We start from the raw sequence: 19,115 nt of genomic DNA, 5'->3' as shown, positions 1-19,115 counted from the left end.
AGGCTGGTCTTAAACTCCTGGACTTAAGAGATCCACCCACCTCGGCCTCACAAAGTGCTAGGATTACAAGCATGAGCCACTGCACCCAGCCCTGTGTGGCTTCTTTGCAGACCTGGATTACAGAAGATTTTGCAGAAAAATTTACACTTTTTTACTAGATCGAAAATAGAGATTCATCAACATACAGATACAGGAGTATCTACCACAGAAGCATTCACAGTAGTATACAGATTACTTTTATTTGTTTGTTTTAAATGTATGACAAGGTAAATAAATCAGAATTAGCATATATAGGCATGTATTTATATTTTAATATTTAATATCTAATAAGAAATATTATTACTAATAACATGTGTTCTTTATATTACTAAATTTCTTATAAATGTTCTGTTTTTTTAACAACTTTATTGAGATGTTTTACATATATTATAATAATATAAAAACTACACATATTGAAAGTGTATAGTTTAGTTTTGATATATGTACATGCATATGAACCAATCACCACAATCAAGATAATGGATGTATCCATCACCTCCTGAAGTTTCCTCACTTTAAAATCCCTCTCTGACACATCTGTTCCACCTTGTTACTAAGCAAATCCTGACAGTGCTTTCTGTCACTATAGATTAGTTTGCATGTTCTAGATTTCCATATAAATGAATCATATAATATGTACTCCTCCTTTTACTTGGTCTGGCTTCTTTGGCTCAGCATATTTATTTTTAGATTCATCTATGTTGTAACTGTAGAATGAGTTTATTTCTTTACATTGCTAAGTCATATTCCATTGAATGGATACACCATAATTTATCTATCGGTTCACGTTTCAATGGCATTTGAGTCATTTCCCAGTTTGCCTATTACACATAAAGTTGCTATGGACAGACGCGGTGCCTCATGCCTGTAATTCCAGCACTTTGGGAGGCCAAGGCGGGCAGATCACTTGAGGTCAGGAGTTTGAGACCAGCCTGACCAACATGGTAAAACACTGTCTCAATTAAAAATACAAAAATTAGTCGGGCATGGTGGTGGGTGCCTGTAATCCCAGCAACTTGGGAGGCTGAGGCATGAGGATTGCTTGAACGCGGGAGGCGGAAGTTGCAGTGAGCTGAGATTGAGCCACTGCACTCCAGCCTGGGTGACAAGAGTGAGACTCCATCTCAAAAATCAACAACAACCACAAAAAACAAATCAAGTTGCTATGAATATTACAGTACACATCTTTGCCTAGGCATGTGCGTTTGATTCTCTTGGATAAAAACTCTAGGGTAGAATGGCTGGGTTATAGGGTAAGGTTATATTTAACTTTTGAAGAAACTTCCAAAATGTTTTCCAAAGTATTCAGTTTTTCAGTCCCACCAGCAGTTCTAGTTGCTCTACTTCACCAACACTTGGAATGTTAATTCTTTTTCACTTGAGACATTCTAATATCTGGGTTGTAATATCTAATTGAGCTATCAATTTTTGTTTTCCTAATAAGTAATAATCTTGAGCTACTTTTAAAGTGCATATTTACTATCATATATCTTCCTTGGTGAATGTCTGCTTAAATCATTGATCTATTTTTGTATTGGGTTTTTATTGTTTTCTTATTGAGTTTTGAGAGTTTTTGAAAATATATTGGATAATAGTTGTTGGGGCTCAGAAAACAATACCCCAAAATGAAGCCCTCAAAAGCAGCCTCAGAAGGAAAGATTTTTCTTTGACCTTTCCCTTCCTTCCTGTCTCTCAGCTCCATTTCCCCCTAAGGCTAGCCATCGAAACTAGAATCCCTCTTCGTGAAGGCAGTTTATAGAAACCAGGACTCCTTTTCCTTACAGCCAGCCATAAAACCTAAAATTATTACTCTAATTTTCCCTTTATGTTTCTGTGTAAGATCTGGCCATAAAGAAATTACCTGACCTGTCTTGTTTGACTGTAGAGCCTAAGACCCCATTCCAGAGAAGGTCCTGCCCCATACCTGGAAGGAAGGAATGCTGCACAGAGAGGCCAAGAAAAATCTAGACAGACAGGATTGGCTGGGTTTCCTCACTCGGTCCATTAGCATTACATCATACCTGTTTTGTCTAATCATATTTCTACATGGTTGTTCATACTTTGTTCAATCTAAGAATAAAAATCAATGATTCTCCTGTATCTTTGGGCCTGCATTCTGAAGGCTCCTGTATACACACATTAAATAAATTTGTATGCCTTTTGTTTTTTTTTCCTTAAGAGATGGAGCCTCGCTCTTTTGCCCAGGCTGAAGTACAGTGGCACTATTATAACTCACTGCAGCCTCAATTTCCTGGGCTCAAGCCATGCTCTCGCCTCACCCTCCCCAGTAGCTGAGACTGCAGATGTGAATGACCATATCTGGTTCATATGCACCTGTTCTCCAGTTAGTCTGCCTTTTGCAAGTAGATTTTTCAGTGAATCTTCAGAGGGCCCTCCTTGGCCCCTAGAAAGTCAACATGTGATTTGCAAATATTTTCTCCAAGTCTGTGGCTTTTAAAAAAATATTCTCTTACGATTGTCTTTCAAAGGGCATAAGTTCTTCATTTTAATTGTTTTATTTATTAAGTATTTTTTCTTTTATGGCTCATGCTTTTTATATCCTATTTAAAAGGACTTTGTCTAATTGAAAGTCACAGGTTTTCTCTTATGCTTTTTTCTAGACGACTAATAGTTTTAGGTCTTAAATTTTTATCTAGGCTCCATTTTGAGTTAATTTTTATATGGTACAAGGTATGGATGTAAATTTTTTTACATATGGATATCTAATTATTTCAGCACCATTTTTTGCAAAGCTCTACATTCTACAAAGAATTTCTTTTGCAATTTTGTAAAAAATCAGTTGTTCTACATTTTTGGCTCTATCTTTGTGCTATTTTGTTCCATTGATCTGTCTGCCTGTACATCATTTTTTCAGTGTCCTCATTTCTCAAGCTTTCTAATAAGTTTTGAAGTTAGGTATCATTAGTCCTCCAATGTTAAATTTATTTTTTAAAGTTGTTTTTGTGTGTGTGTGTCCTTTGCATTTGCATTTTCTTTTTAGAATCATTTCGTCAATTTCTACCAAAAGAAAAAGAACCTAGGAAAATTTTTATTCAGAACTCATTTGATCTATAAATCAGTTAAGGAATAATTTACATCTTACCAATGTTAATCTTTCAATCCAGGAACACAATATATCTCTCCTTTATTCAGTTCTCTTTAATTTCTATCAATAATTTTTCTAGTTTTTAGTGTACCTCTGTTTTGTCCAGGTTTTGTCAAGGTGATATATAAGCATTTCATATTCCTGATACTAATATAAGTAATGTTTTAAAAAATTCAATATCTGATTTTTCTTTGCTAGTATAAAAAATAATTGATTTCTCTAAGTTGTTCTTGTATCCTAGAACAGTTGCTAACCTCACTTATTAACTATATTAACTTTTTGCACACTCCACAGGACTTTTTATGTATATGATCATGCCACTAATGAATAAGATTTACTTCTTCATTTCAAATTTGAATGCCTTTATTATTTCTGGTTTTTTTCTTAATGTGTTAGCAAAAACTTACAGTACAATGTTGAATAAAACTGGTGAGAGTGGGCCGGGCGCGGTGGCTCACGCCTGTAATCCCAGCACTTTGGGAGGCCGAGGCGGGTGGATCATGAGGTCAGGAGATCGAGACCATCCTGGCTAACAAGGTGAAACCCCGTCTCTACTAAAAATACAAAAAATTAGCCGGGCGCGGTGGCGGGCGCCTGTAGTCCCAGCTACTCGGGAGGCTGAGGCAGGAGAATGACGTGAACCCGGGAAGCGGAGCTTGCAGTGAGCCGAGATTGCGCCACTGCAGTCCGCAGTCCGGCCTGGGTGACAAAGCGAGACTCCGTCTCAAAAAAAAAAAAAAAAAAAAAAAAAACTGGTGAGAGTGGACACCCTTCCCTTATTCCTGATATTAGGGAGATAGCATTCATTCTTTCACCATTAAGTGTAATGTTAAATGTAGATATTTTAATAGGTACTTTGAATCACGTTGAGGAAGTTCTCATCAGTGTTTGATGAGAGTTTTTATTTGGAATGGAAGTTCTCATCTAGTTTGATGAGAGTTTTTATTTGGAATGGATGTTCGGTTTTACCAAGAGATTTTTTTTTCTGCATCTGGTAAGATGATCACATGACATTTCTTTTTCAATCTAAAAATACTGTGGATCGGCTGTGGTGGATCATGCCTGTTAATGCCAACACTTTGCGAGGCTGAGGCAGGCAGATTGCTTGAGCCCAGAAGTTCAAGACCAGCCCTCGCAACATAGTGAGAACTTCATCTCTACAAAAAATACCAAAAAAAAAAAAAAATGTTGGGTAATGGCGCACATCTGTAGTTGCAATAGAGGCTGAGGTGGGAAGATCACTTGGGCTAGAGAGGCGGAGGTTGCAGTGAGCCAAGATTGTACCACTGCACTCCAGCCTGGGTGACAGAGTGAGATCCTGTCTCAACAACAAACAAAAAAAAGTGAATTATATTCATTAATTTTTAAGGGTAAAAACAAACCTTGCACTCATAGGATAAATATCACTTTGTCAGGATATATTACCCTTTTTATATATTGTTTGATTTTATTTGGTAACATTCTGTTAGGCCTTTTTTTTTTTCTTTTTTAACCTTTGTCCATGAGCAATACTGGTCACTTCTTTCTTTCCTTGAAGTGTTTTCATCTGGTTTTGGTATTAGGGTAATACTTCCCTCATAGAAAGAGGTAGAAAGCATGATTTACTCTACAATTTTCTGGAAGAATTTTTGTAGACTAGGTATTATTTTCTTCCTTAAATAGTAAAATTAATCAGGGAAATGATCTTGGCCTGGACTTTTATTTGTCAGAAGTTTTATAACTACATGTCCAATGTCTTTAATATATATAAGGTTATTTAGATGATCTATTTCTTCTTCAGTGTGCTTTAGCTGTTTTTTGAATGAATTTATCCATTTTATTTAAATTGTCTGAGTTTTTGGCATAAATTTGTTGATAGTATTATCTACTGTGACAGGCAGAATAACGGCCCAACAATTCGCCCACTTTTGGGGCATTCAGAAACTCAGAGCCTATGAATATGTTATTTAAATGGAAAAAAAGCACTTGCGGATATGTTTTAAGGATCTGGGGATAGGGAGATTATTCTGGATTATCCAGGTGGACCCAATGTAATCAATCTCACTGTTTCTTTTACATGAAAGAGGGATACAAGAAAGCCATAGTCAGCGAGAGATTTAAAGATGCTACACTGTTCGTGACCAGCCTGACCAACATGGAGAAACCCATCTCTACTAAAAATACAAAAAATTAGCCAGATTTGGTGGCACATGCCTGTAATTTATTTTGGCAGTTAGTTGATGCAGTTTCTTCCCAGCATCGATGATCTTTACAATTTGGCATGTTTCTGCAGTGGCTGATACTGGTTGTTCCTTTCCGTGTTTAGTGCTTCCTTCAGGAGCTCTTGTAAGGCAGGCCTGGTGGTGACAAAATCTCTCCGCATTTCCTTGTCTGTAAAGAATTTAATTTCCCTTCAGTAATGAAGCTTAGTTTGGCTGGATATGAAATTCTGGGTTGAAAATTCTTTTCTTTAAGAATGTTGAATATTGGCCCTCACTCTCTTCTGGCTTGTAGAGTTTCTGGCGAGAGATCCACTGTTAGTCTGATGGGCTTCCCTTTGTGGGTAACCCGACCTTTCTCTCTGGCTGCCCGAAACATTTTTTCCTTCATTTCAACCTTGGTGAATCTGACTATTACGTGTCTTGGAGTTGCTCTTCTCAAGGAGTATCTTTGTGGTGTTCTATGTATTTCCTGAATTTGAATGTTGGCCTGCCTGGCTAGGTAGGAGAAGTCCTCCTGGATAATATCCTGAAGAGTGTTTTCCAACTTGGTTCCATTCTCCCTGTCACTTTCATGTACACCAATCAAACGTAGATTTGGTCTTTTTACATAGTCCCATATTTCTTGGAGGCTTTGTTGGTTTCTTTTTACTCTTTTTTCTCTAAACTTCTCCTCTCACTTTATTTCATTCATTTGACCTTCAATCACTGATACCCTTTCTTCCACTTGATCGAATCAGCTACTGAAGCTTGTGCATGCGTCACGTAGTACTCATGCCATGCACTAAATGTCCAAAAGAGAAAGCACGAAAGATCTAAAATCGCAACCCTAAGATCACAATTAAAAGAACTAGAGAAGCAAGAGTAAACACATTCAAAAGCTAGCGGAAGGCAAGAAATAACTAAGACCAGAGCAGAACTGAAGGAAATAGAGACACAAAAAACACTTCAAAAAAATCTATGAATCCAGGAGCTGGTTTTTTGAAAAGATCAACAAAATTGACAGACAGATCACCAGCAAGAGTAATAAAGTAGAAAAGAGAGAAGAATCAAATAGATGCAATAAAAAATGATAAAGGGGATACCATCACCAATCCCAGAGAAATACAAATGACCATCAGAGAATACTTAAATACCTTTACACAAATAAACTAGAAAATCTAGAAGAAATGGATAAATTCCTGGACATATACACCCTCCCAAGACTAAACCAGGAAGAAGTTGAATCTCTGAATAGACCAGTAACAGGCTCTGAAATTGAGGCAATAATTAATAGCCTACCAACCAAAAAAAGTGCAGGACCAGATGGGTTCACAATCGAATTCTACCAGAGGTACAAAGAGGAGCTGGTACCATTCCTTCTGAAACTATTCCAATCAATAGAAAAAGAAGGAATCCTCCCTAACTCATTTTATGAGGCCAGCATCATCCTGATACCAAAGCCTGGCAGAGACACAACAAAAAAAGAGAATTTTAGACCAATATCCCTGAAAAACATCGATGCAAAAATCCTCAATAAAATACTGGCAAACTGAATCGAGCAGCACATCAAAAAGGTATCCACCATGATAAAGTCGGCTTCATCCCTGGGATGTGAGGCTGGTTCAACATACACAAATCAATAAATGTAATCCATCACATAAACAGAACCAATGACAGAAACCACATAAATATCCAAACAGATGCAGAAAAGGCCTTTGACAAAATTCAACAGCCCTTTATGCTAAAAACTCTCGATAAACTAGGTATTGATAGAACGTGTCTCAAAATAATAAGAGCTATTTATGACAAACACATAGATAATATCATACTGAATGAGCAAAAACTGGAAACATTCCCTTTGAAAACTGGCACAAGACAGGGATGCCCTCTTTCACCACTCCTATTCAACATAGTTTTGGAAGTTCTGGCCAGGGCAATCAGGCAAGAGAAAGAAATAAAGAGTATTCAATTAGGAAAAGAGGAAGTCAAATTGTCCCTGTTTGCAGATGACATGACTGTATATTTAGAAAACCCCATCGTCTCAGCCCAAAATCTCCTTAAGCTGATAGGCAACTTTAGCAAAGTCTCAGGATACAAAATCAATGTGCAAAAATCACAAGCATTCCTATACACCAATAACAGACAAACAGAGAGCCAAATCATGAGTGATCTCCCATTCACAATTGCTTCAAAGACAATAAAATACCTCAGAATCCAACCTACAAGGGATGTGAAGGACCTCTTCAAGGAGAACTACAAACCACTACTCAATGAAATAAAAGAGGACACAAATGGAAGAACATTCCATGCCCATGGGTAGGAAGAATCAATATCATGAAAATGGCCATACTGCCCAAGGTAATTTATAGATTCAATGCCATCCCCACCAAGCTGCCAATGACTTTCTTCACAGAATTTGAAAAAAACTATTTTAAAGTTCATAGGGAACTAAAAAAGAGCCCACATTGTCATGACAATCCTAAGCAAAAAGAACAAAGCTGGAGGCACCACACTACCTGACTTCAAACTATACTACAGGGCAACAGCAACCAAAACAGCATTGTACTTGTACCAAAACAGAGATATAGACCAATGGAACATAACAGAGCCCTCAGATATAATACCACACATCGACAGCCATCAGATCTTTGACAAACCAGTCAAAAACAAGAACTGGGGAATGATTCCCTATTTAATAAATGGTGCTGGGAAAACTGGCTAGCCATAAGTAGAAAGCTGAAACTGGATCCTTCCTTACACCTCATACAAAAATTAATTCAAGATGGATTAAAGACTTAAATGTTAGACCTAAAACCATAAAAACCCTAGAAGAAAACCTAGGCAATATCATTCAGGACATAGACATGGGCAAGGACTTCAGGACAAAAACACCAAAAGCAATGGCAACAAAAGCCAAAATTGACAAATGGTATCTAATTAAACTAAAGAGCTTCTGCACACCAAAAGAAACTACCATCAGAGTGAACAGGCAACCTACAGAATGGGAGAAAATTTTTACAATCTACCCATCTGACAAAGGGCTAATATCCAGAATCTACAAAGAACTTAAACAAATTTTCAAGAAAAAATCAAACAACCCCATCAAAAAGTGGGCAAAGGATATGAAAAGACAATTCTCAAAAGAAGACATTTATGCAGCCAACAGACACATGAAAAAGTGCTCATCATCACTGGTCATCAGAGAAATCCAAATCAGAACCACAATGAGATACCATCGCCAGTTAGAATGGCAATCATTAAAAAGTCAGGAAACTGGGGGTGGAGCCAAGATGGCCGAATAGGAACAGCTCCCATCTACAGTTCCCAGTGTGAGCGATGCAGAAGATGAGTGATTTCTGCTTTCCAACTTAGGTACCGGGTTCATCTCACTGGGGAGTGCCGGACAGTGGGTGCAGGACAGTGGGTGCAGCCCACCATGCATGAGCCGAAGCAGGGTGAGGCATCATCTCACCTGGAAAGTGCAAGGGGTCAGGGAATTCCCTTTCCTAGTCAAAGAAAGGGGTGACAGACGGCACCTGGAAAATCGGGTCACTCCCACCCTAATACTGTGCTTTTCCAACCGGCTTAACAAATGGCACACCAGGAGATTATATCCCGCACATGGCTCAGAGGGTCCTACGCCCACAGAGCCTGGCTCATTGCTAGCACAGCAGTCTGAGATCAAACTGCAAGGCAGCAGCAAGGCTGGGGGAGGGGCGCCCGCCATTGCGGAGGCTTGAGTAGGTAAACAAAGCATCCGGGAAGTTCGAACTGGGTGGAGCCCACCACAGCTGAAGACAGCCTGCCTGCCTCTGTAGGCTCCACCTCTGGGTGCAGGGCCCAGACAAACAAAAGACAGCAATAACCTCTGCAGAATTAAATGTCCCTGTCTGACAGCTTTGAAGAAAGTAGTGGTTCTCCCAGCACACAGCTTGAGATCTGAGAATGGGCAGACTGCCTCCTCAAGTGGGTCCCTGACCCCCAAGTAGCCTAACTGGGAGGCATCCCACAATAGGGGCAGACTGACACCTCACACGACCGGGTACTCCCCTGAGACAAAACTTCCAGAGGAACCATCAGGCAGCAGCATTTGCAGTTCACCAATATCTGCTGTTCTGCAGCCACTGCTGCTGATAGCCAGGCAAACAGGGTCTGGAGTGAACCTCCAGCAAACTCCAACAGATCTGCAGCTGAGGGTCCTGACTGTTAGAAGGAAAACTAACAAACAGAAAGGACATCCACATCAATAACCCATCTTTACGTCACCATCATCATCAAAGACCAAAGGTAGATAAAACCACAAAGATGGGGGGAAAAGCAGAGCAGAAAAACCAGAAACTCTAAAAATCAGAGTGCCTCTCCTCCTCCAAAGGAACACAGCTCCTCACCAGCAATGGAACAAAGCTGGACGGAGAATGACCGTGACGAGTTGAGAGAAGAAGGCTTCAGAAGATCAAACTACTCCGAACTAAAGGAGGAAGTTCGAACAAATGGCAAACAAGATAAAAACCTTGAAAAAAAATTAGACGAATGGATAACTAGAATGACCAATGCAGAGAAGTCCTTAGAGGACCTGATGGAGCTGAAAACCATGGCATGACAAATACGTGACAAATGCACAAGCCTCAGTAGCCGATGCGATCAACTGGAAGAAAGGGTATCAGCGATGGAAGATGAAATGAATGAAATGAAGTGAGAAGAGAAGTTTAGAGAAAAAAGAATGAAAAGAAATGAACAAAGCCTCCAAGAAATATGGGACTATGTGAAAAGACCAAATCTACGTCTGATTGGTGTACCTGAAAGTGATGGGGAGAATGGAACCAAGTTGGAAAACACTCTTCAGGATATTATCCAGGAGAACTTCCCCAATCTAGCAAGGCAGGTCAACATTCAAATTCAGGGAATACAGAGAATGCCACAAAGATACTCCTGGAGAAGAGCAACTCCAAGACACATAATTGTCAGATTCACCAAAGTTGAAATGAAGGAAAAAATGTTAAGGGCAGCCAGAGAGAAAGGTCAGGTTACCCACAAAGGGAAGCCCATCAGACTAACAGCTGATCTCTCCGCAGAAACTCTACAAGCCAGAAGAGAGTGGGGGACAATATTCAACATTCTTAAAGAAAAGAATTTTCAACCCAGAATTTCACATCCAGCCAAACTAAGCTTCATAAGTGAAGGACAAATAAAATCCTTTACAGACAAGCAAATGCTGAGAAATTTTGTCATCACCAGGCCGGCCCTAAAAGAGCTCCTGAAGGAAGCACTAAACATGGAAAGGAGCAACCGGTACCAGCCACTGCAAAAACATGCCAAGTTGTAAAGACCATCAAGGCTAGGAAGAAACTGCATCAACTAACGAGCAAAATAACCAACTAACATCATAATGACAGGATCAAATTCACACAAAACAATATTAACCTTAAATGTAAATGGGCCAAATGCTCCAATTAAAAGACACACACTGGCAAATTGGATAAAGAGTCAAGACCCATCAGTGTGCTGTATTCAGAAAACCCATCTCATGTGCAGAGACACACATAGGCTCAAAATAAAGGGATGCAGGAAGATCTACCAACCAAATGGAAAACAAAAAAAGGCAGGGGTTGCAATCCTAGTCTCGGATAAAACAGACTTTAAAACAGCAAAGATCAAAAGAGACAAAGAAGGCCATTACATAATGGCAAAGGGATCAATTCAACAAGAAGAACTGACTATCCTAAATATATATGCACCCAATACAGGAGCACCCAGATTCATAAAGCAAGTCCTTAGTGACCTACAAAGAGACTTAGACTCCCACACAATCATAATGGGAGACTTTAACACCCCAATGTCAACATTAGACAGATCAACGAGACAGAAAGTTAACAAGGATATCCAGGAATTGAACTCAGCTCTGCACCAAGCGGACCTAATAGACATCTACAGAACTCTCCACCCCAAATCAACAGAATATACATTCTTTTCAGCACCACACCACACCTATTCCAAAATTGACCACATAGTTGGAAGTAAAGAACTCCTCAGCAAATGTAAAAGAACAGAAATTATAACAAACTGTCTCTCAGACCACAGTGCAATCAAACTAGAATTCAGGATTAAGAAACTCACTCGAAACTGCTCAACTACATGGAAACTGAACAACCTGCTCCTGAATGACTACGGGGTACATAACAAAATGAAGGCAGAAATAAAGATGTTCTTTGAAACCAATGAGAACAAAGACACAACATACCAGAATCTCTGGGACACATTCAAAGCAGTGTGTAGAGGGAAATTTATAGCACTAAATGCCCACAAGAGAAAGCAGGAAAGATCTAAAATTTACACCCTAACATTACAATTGAAAGAACTAGAGAAGCAAGAGCAAACACATTCAAAAGCTAGCAGAATGCAAGAAAACACAAAGATCAGAGCAGAACTGAAGGAGATAGAGACACAAAAAACCCTTCAAAAAATCAATGAATCTAGGAGCTGGTTTTTTGAAAAGATCAACAAAATTGATAGACTGCTAGCAAGACTAATAAAGAAAAAAAGAGAGAACAATCAAATAGACACAATAAAAAATGACAAAGGGGATATCACCACCGATCCCACAGAAATACAAACTACCATCAAAGAATACTATAAACACCTCTATGCAAATAAACTGGAAAATCTAGAAGAAATGGATAAACTCCTCGACACATACACCCTTCTAAGACTAAACTAGGAAGAAGTTGAATCTCTGAATAGACCAATAACAGGCTATGAAATTGAGGCAATAATTAATAGCTTACCAACAAAAAAAGTCCAGGACCAGATGGATTCACAGCTGAATTCTACCAGAGGTACAAGGAGGAGCTGGTACCATTCCTTCTGAAACTATTCCAATCAGTACAAAAACAGGGAATCCTCCCTAACTCATTTTATGAGGCCAGCATCATCCTGACACCAAAGCCTGGCAGAGACACAACAAAAAAGAGAATTTTAGACCAATATCCTTGATGAACATTGATGCAAAAATCCTCAGTAAAATACTAGCAAAGTGAATCCAGCAACACATCAAAAAGCTTATCCACCATTATCAAGTGGGCTTCATCCCTGGTATGCAAGGCTGGTTCAACATACGAAAATCAATAAACGTAATCCAGCATATAAACAGAACCAAAGAGAAAAACCACATGATTATCTCAATAGATGCAGAAAAGGCCTTTGACAAAATTCAACAACGCTTCATGCTAAAAAATCTCAATAGATTAGGTATTGATGGGAAGTATCTCGAAATAATAAGAGCTATCTATGACAAACCCAGAGCCAGTATCATACTGAATGGACAAAAACTGGAAGCATTCCCTTTGAAAGCTGGCACAAGACAGGGATGCCTTCTCTCACCACTCCTATTCAACATACCATTGGAAGTTCTGGCCAGGGCAATCAGGCAGGAGAAGGAAATAAAGGGCATTCAATTAGGAAAAGAGGAAGTCAAATTGTCCCTGTTTGCAGACGACATGATTGTATATCTAGAAGACCCCATCGTCTCAGCCCAAAATCTCCTTAAGCTGATAAGCAACTTCAGCAAAGTCTCAGGATACAAAATCAATGTGCAAAAATCACAAGCATTCTTATACACCAAAAACAGACAAACAGAGAGCCAAATCATGAGTGAACTCCCATTCACAATTGCTTCAAAGAGAATAAAATACCTAGGAATCCACCTTACAAGGGATGTGAAGGACCTCTTCAAGGAGAACTACAAACCACTGCTCAATGAAATAAAAGAGGATACAAACAAATGGAAGAACATTCCTAGCTCATGGGTAGGAAGAATTAATATCATGAAAATGGCCATACTGCCCAAGGTAATTTATAGATTCAATGCCATCCCCATCAAGCTACCAATGACTTTCTTCACAGAATTGGAAAAAACTACTTTCAAGTTCATATGGTACGAAAAAAGAGCCCGCATTGCCAAGTCAATCCTAAGCCAAAAGAACAAAGCTGGTGGCATCACGCTACCTGACTTCAAACTATACTACAAGGGTACAGTAACCAAAACAGCATGGTACTGGTACCAAAACAGCATGGTACTGGTACCAAAACAGAGATATAGACCAATGGAACAGAACTGAGCCCTCAGAAATAAAGCTGCATATCTACAACTATCTGATCTTTGACAAACCTAACAAAAACAAGCGACGGGGAAAGGATTCCCTATTTAATAAATGGTGCTGGGAAAACTGGCTAGCCATATGTAGAAAGCTGAAACTGGATCCCTTCCTTACACCTTATACAAAAATTAATTCAAGATGGATTAAAGACTTACATGTTAGACCTAAAACCATAAAAACCCTAGAAGAAAACCTAGGCAATACCATTCAGGACATAGGCATGGGCAAGGACTTCATGTCTAAAACACCAAAAGCAATGGCAACAAAAGCCAAAATTGACAAATGGGATCTAATTAAACTAAAGAGCTTCTGCACATCAAAAGAAACTACCATCAGAGTGAACAGGCAACCTACAGAATTGGAGAAAATTTTTGCAATCTACCCATCTGACAAAGGGCTAATATCAAGAATCTACAACGAACTCAAACAAATTTACAAGAAAAAAACAAACAACCCCATCAAAAAGTGGGCAAAGGATATGAACAGACACTTCTCAAAAGAAAACATTTATGCAGCCAAAAAACATATGAAAAAATGCTCATCATCACTGGCCATCAGAGAAATGCAAATCAAAACCACAATGAGATATCATCTCACACCAGTTAGAATGGCGATCATTAAAAAGTCAGGAAACAACAGGTGCGGGAGAGGATGTGGAGAAATAGGAACACTTTTACACTGTTGGTGGGACTGTAAACTAGTTCAACCATTGTGGAAGACAGTGTGGTGATTCCTCAAGGATCTAGAACTAGAAATACCATTTGACCCAGCCATCCCATTACTGGGTATATACCCAAAGGATTCTAAATCATGCTACTATAAAGACACATGCACTTGTATGTTTATTGTGGCACTATTCACAATAGCAAAAACTTGGAACCAACTCAAATGTCCATCAATGATAGACTGGATTAAGAAAATGTGGGACATATACACTATGGAATACTATGCAGCCATAAAAAACAGTGAGTTCATGTCCTTTGCAGGGACATGGATGAAGCTGGAAACCATCATTCTGAGCAAAGTATCACAAGGACAGAAAACCAAACACTGCATGTTCTCTCACATAGGTGGGAATTGAACAATGAGAACACTTGGACATAGGGTGGGGAACATCACACACGAGATCCTGTCTTGGGGTGGATAGCATTAGGAGAAATACCTAATGTAAATGATGAATTAATGGGTGCAGCAAACCAACATGGCACATGTACACCTATATAACAAAACTGCATGTTGTTAGTGCAAACCTGCACGTTGATAGTGTCCAACAAATTTTCTATAGCATTGTGCACATGTACCCTAGAACTTAAAGTATTTAAAAAAATTTAGCCAAGGGAAACCTATTCCTGACCTCTGGCCCCCAGAACTATAAGATAATAAATTTGTGTTGTGTTCGACCACCAAGTGAGTGATAATGTAGTAATCTGTTACGATGGCAATAGGAAAATAATACACCTATTAGCCTTTTGAACATCTGCAGAATCTGTATTCATATAACTTCTCTTTGATATTAGTAATTTATTTCTTCTATTTCTTTTCCCAATGAATCTGTCTAGAAAATTATCCATCGCATTGATCTCCTCAAAAAAAAAAAAAAAACTTTTAAGCCAGATGAGTGGCTCACACCTATAATCCCAGCACTTTGGGAAGCCAAGGTGGAAGTATTTTTTGACCTGGAGCCTGGGCAACATAGCACGACCTTGTCTCTGCAAAAAGTTTTTAAAAATTAGCCAGGCATGGTGGTGCATACCTGTAGTACCAGCTATTTGGGAGGCTGAAGCAGGGAGATTGCTTGAGCCCAGGAGCTGGAAGTTACAGTGAGCCATGATAGTTGCCATTGCAACAGTCTGGGCAACAGAGTGAAAAAAAAAAAAAAAAGAAAGAAACAAAAACGTTTAGTTTCATCGACTCTGTCTTTCTGTTTTACTGAATTTCCCTCTGATGTTTATTTCCTTTATTTTGCTTATTTTGAATTTAATTTGGTCTTTTTTTCTATTTTCCCAAAGTGGAACTCCAATGCTTTGATTTTCTGCTGAGCGCTGCTTTAGGTGCATCTCACAAATTTTGAAATGTTTTGCCTTTAATTTTATTTTGTTCAAAATACTTTATGATTTCCTTTTTGTGTCTTCTTTGATTAATGAGTTATTTATAAAGGTGGTAATTAGTTTCTAAATATTTGCGGATTTCCCAGATATATTTTGCTTATTGATGTACAGTTTAATTATATTGCAGTCAGAGAACATACTGCTTTTGATTTGAATCATTTGAAATGTATTGAAACTTGTTTTATGACTCAGAATATGGTCTGTAAATGTTCCAAAGGTGCTTAAATTCTTCTCTTGGTAGGTGGACTGTTCTATAAATGTCAATTAGGTCAATTGGGTTGATAGTGTCAAACAAATTTTCTATAGCATTACTGATATTCTGACTAATTGCTCTATAAAATGTATTATTATATGATAATATGTTCTATATAATTTATTGAAAGAGGGTTATTGACATTTATATTTTACTACATTCGTATACTTATTTCTCCTAAAAATTCTATCCATTTTTGCTTCATGTATTCTAAGTCTCTGTTATTAGATTCATAAACATTGAGAATTATGTACCCTTGAATAATTTATACTTTTATCATTATTAAATGACCTGATAATATTCTTTCTTCTTAAATCCATTATGTCTGATATTAACAGAAACATTAATAACATTCATCTTCCATGTTTTTACTTAACATGCTCAATCTGTCTTGTAGTTTCTTGAACCTATGAAATCAATTACATTCATTGTTTAGCCATTCTTTACTAATTCTATCACAAATATAATTCCTATGTCAATTTCTTTCTCTTTTTTTGAGGCAGAATCTCACCCTGTCACCCAGGCTGGAGTGCAGTGGCATGATCATAGAGCATTGCAGCCTCTATCTCCCAGGCTCAAGCAATCCTCCTGCCCCAGCCCCCAGAGTAGCTGGGACTACAGGCACACACCACCACACCACTCTATTTTATTTTTATTTTTATTTTTACCAGAGACAAGATCACACTACGTAGCCCAGGCTGGTCTTGAATTCCTGAACTCAAGCAATCCTCCCGCCTTGGTGTCCCAAAGTGTTGGGATTACAGGTGTTAGCCACCATGCCCTGTCCCATGTCAATTTCAATGGATTGATTTATCTCCTCAAAATGGGTCCTATTTTCCTTTTTCTTTACATACCTGGTAATTTTTGATTGGATGCTAGATATTGTCAATTTAACTTTGTGTTAGCTATATTTGTATTCCTTTAAATAAATATTGACCTATTTTTGTGATGCAATTAAGAAACATGGATACAGTTTGATACCTTTGAGATCTATGTTTAAGCTTCACTGGGAAGAAAAAGAGTGATGATTAGTGTAGGGCTAATTTAGCCCTAATACTGAGGTAAAATCTTTCTGACTTTTCTACCCAGTGTTCTGTGAATGATGGGGTCTTCCACTCTGCATGGTTAGAATAAAAAACATTTCTCACCCTGTGTGTTCCATCTTATCCTTTTGGTTGGCTCTTCCTCCACCTTTGGCTACTTACGCTCACATGAATGCACTGATCTGAACTCAGCTGAAGATTCAAATAGCACTCTCTACAGATGTAGAGATTTCTCTGGATGGCTCTCTCTTCTGATACTATGCCTTGCAACCTCTAGTTTTGTTGATCTCTCTGGATTCTAAGATCTGTCTCCTCATCTCATACAAAACTGCCAGATCCTACCCAGTTCTCTCTCCCTGTACTGTTTCCTGAAACTCTCTCCAGTCAGTAAACTGGGGCTGCTGGAGGGTCACCTCATTTTTTTCCTATCTTTCTGGGATTACTGTTCTTTATTGCTATATTTCCAATGCCTAAAACCCATTTTTTTCTTAAAATTTTTTCCAGTTTTTAAGTTACTTCAGGCATGAGATTTAATTGAACTCTGTTAGTCCAACTTTACCAGCAGCAGTAGACTTCATGCCCAGGATTTCCTTATCACTATAAATTAGACTATTCTTATCTTTCTGTCAAAATTGTTTTTACTGCTTTCAAGAAGTATCCAACATCCTTTGTGTTCTCCAGCAAAGTCCTGAAACACAAAAATGATTAGCGAATTAATTCTTGGTCTACAGAAAGATTAGCACTTGCATTATACATTATAGTAAAATTACAAAAGATATTCAGTATTCTTTTCTTCCAGAATAAAGAGAATACTGCAATTAGAAATTCAGCTTTGTGTGAATAGGAAATCTAACAAAAAGCTATGCTAGGAAATTATGCAGTGAAAATCTTATTATTGAGTGTAATATAGCAAGATTATTTTCATAACTACCTATAGTTCTGCTCCATTTTGCAATATAATTATTTAGCATATATGGTAAAATTTATTTTTCTTACTGTCACTTTTTTGAAATATCATTTCATGAAAATTCTTCTACATATATGTAAATATATTTTTATCTTAATGATGCTGTATCATCTATGCTGCCTCCATTATTTAATGGAGAGACAGTTATATACAAAGTAGAAACCTAACCTCACTGAACCTCTATGCTCTTTTCTGGCAAATAAAATATAAAACTCCCACAGGAGGAAGTTGTGAAGATTTAAGGAGTTAATGTATAAGAATAGACTTTGTAAAATGTAAAGTGCTTGTGAAAAATCAGAAATGTATTAATGAAGATAAAAGCCCATTAGCTTTTTCATAGTGTTTAAATCTATTTATTATATATGAGTCTATTTATTATATATGGAATCCATAGGTTTGTCATTATATTACCCTTTTTTTCCTTTCTCCTTCCTAGATAGTTATAAATATATTAAGTAACATGAAATACTATGTCATTAAGTAATTTGTTTTTGTTTACTATATATTGTTTAACTTCCTATCTAAATATGAATGTTCTTATTTGCAAATATGTCATCATGATAAAGTAATTTAATTGAACATATTTTATCAACTCTAATGGTAATTCTGTGACCAAGAGCAACCTTAGCTGGAGTAGCAATATTGTTTGTTTCACTCAGATGCATTTCATCCTATATTGGGAAAAGATCTACGCGTTTTTTTTTTGTTTTGTTTTGTTTTTTTTGAGACAGAGTCTCACTCTGTTGTCCAAGCTGGAGTTCACTGGCATGATTTTGGCTCACTGCAAACTCCACCTCTTGGGTGCAAGCGATTTTCATGCCTCAGCCTCCCAAGTAGCTGGAATTACAGGCATGTGCCACCATGCCCAGCTAATTTTTGTATTTTTAGTAGAGACGGGATTTTACCATGTTGCCCAGGCTAGTCTCAAACTCCTGACCTCAGGTGATCCACCCACCTCTGCCTCCCAAAGTGCTGGGATAACAGGCGTGAGCCACTGCGCCCAGTGACTCTTCTTGAAGAGGATAGAGAGGAAGAGAGGATAACTTCTTGCAGAAATGCAGTGGGATAATTTAGGAATCAGAGAGACCGAGGGTTTGAGGAGGATATATATTATTATTTAGGGGCACCAACCCGGTTGAATTAACATCCAAAGGACTGAGCCCCAAACAAAGGGTCAGATTACCTTTTAAGCATTTTGTGGGGTGGGGGGAGATCTGTGCAGGGGGAAGCATGTTACAGAAGCGAGAAACAAAGACAGTTATTCAA

General features: G+C 38.1%; 1 long non-coding RNA gene across 1 annotated transcript in view; it reads right to left on the bottom strand.

Moving 5' to 3' along the window:
• Positions 1 to 16,590: 16,590 nt before the first annotated feature.
• The window catches only part of LOC105379168 (uncharacterized), a 273,909-nt gene continuing 271,384 nt past the window's right edge, over positions 16,591 to 19,115 (bottom strand). The window contains exon 7 of the long non-coding RNA XR_001742460.1: positions 16,591 to 17,570. This is a non-coding gene — a long non-coding RNA (uncharacterized LOC105379168). The remainder of the gene's footprint in view (positions 17,571 to 19,115) is intronic.

The sequence above is a fragment of the Homo sapiens genome, chromosome 5, assembly GCF_000001405.40.
Source record: "Homo sapiens chromosome 5, GRCh38.p14 Primary Assembly".
Taxonomy (NCBI): domain Eukaryota; kingdom Metazoa; phylum Chordata; class Mammalia; order Primates; family Hominidae; genus Homo; species Homo sapiens.
The sequence above is the reverse complement of the archived record's forward strand: the minus strand, read 5'-3'. Positions and strand labels throughout refer to the sequence as shown.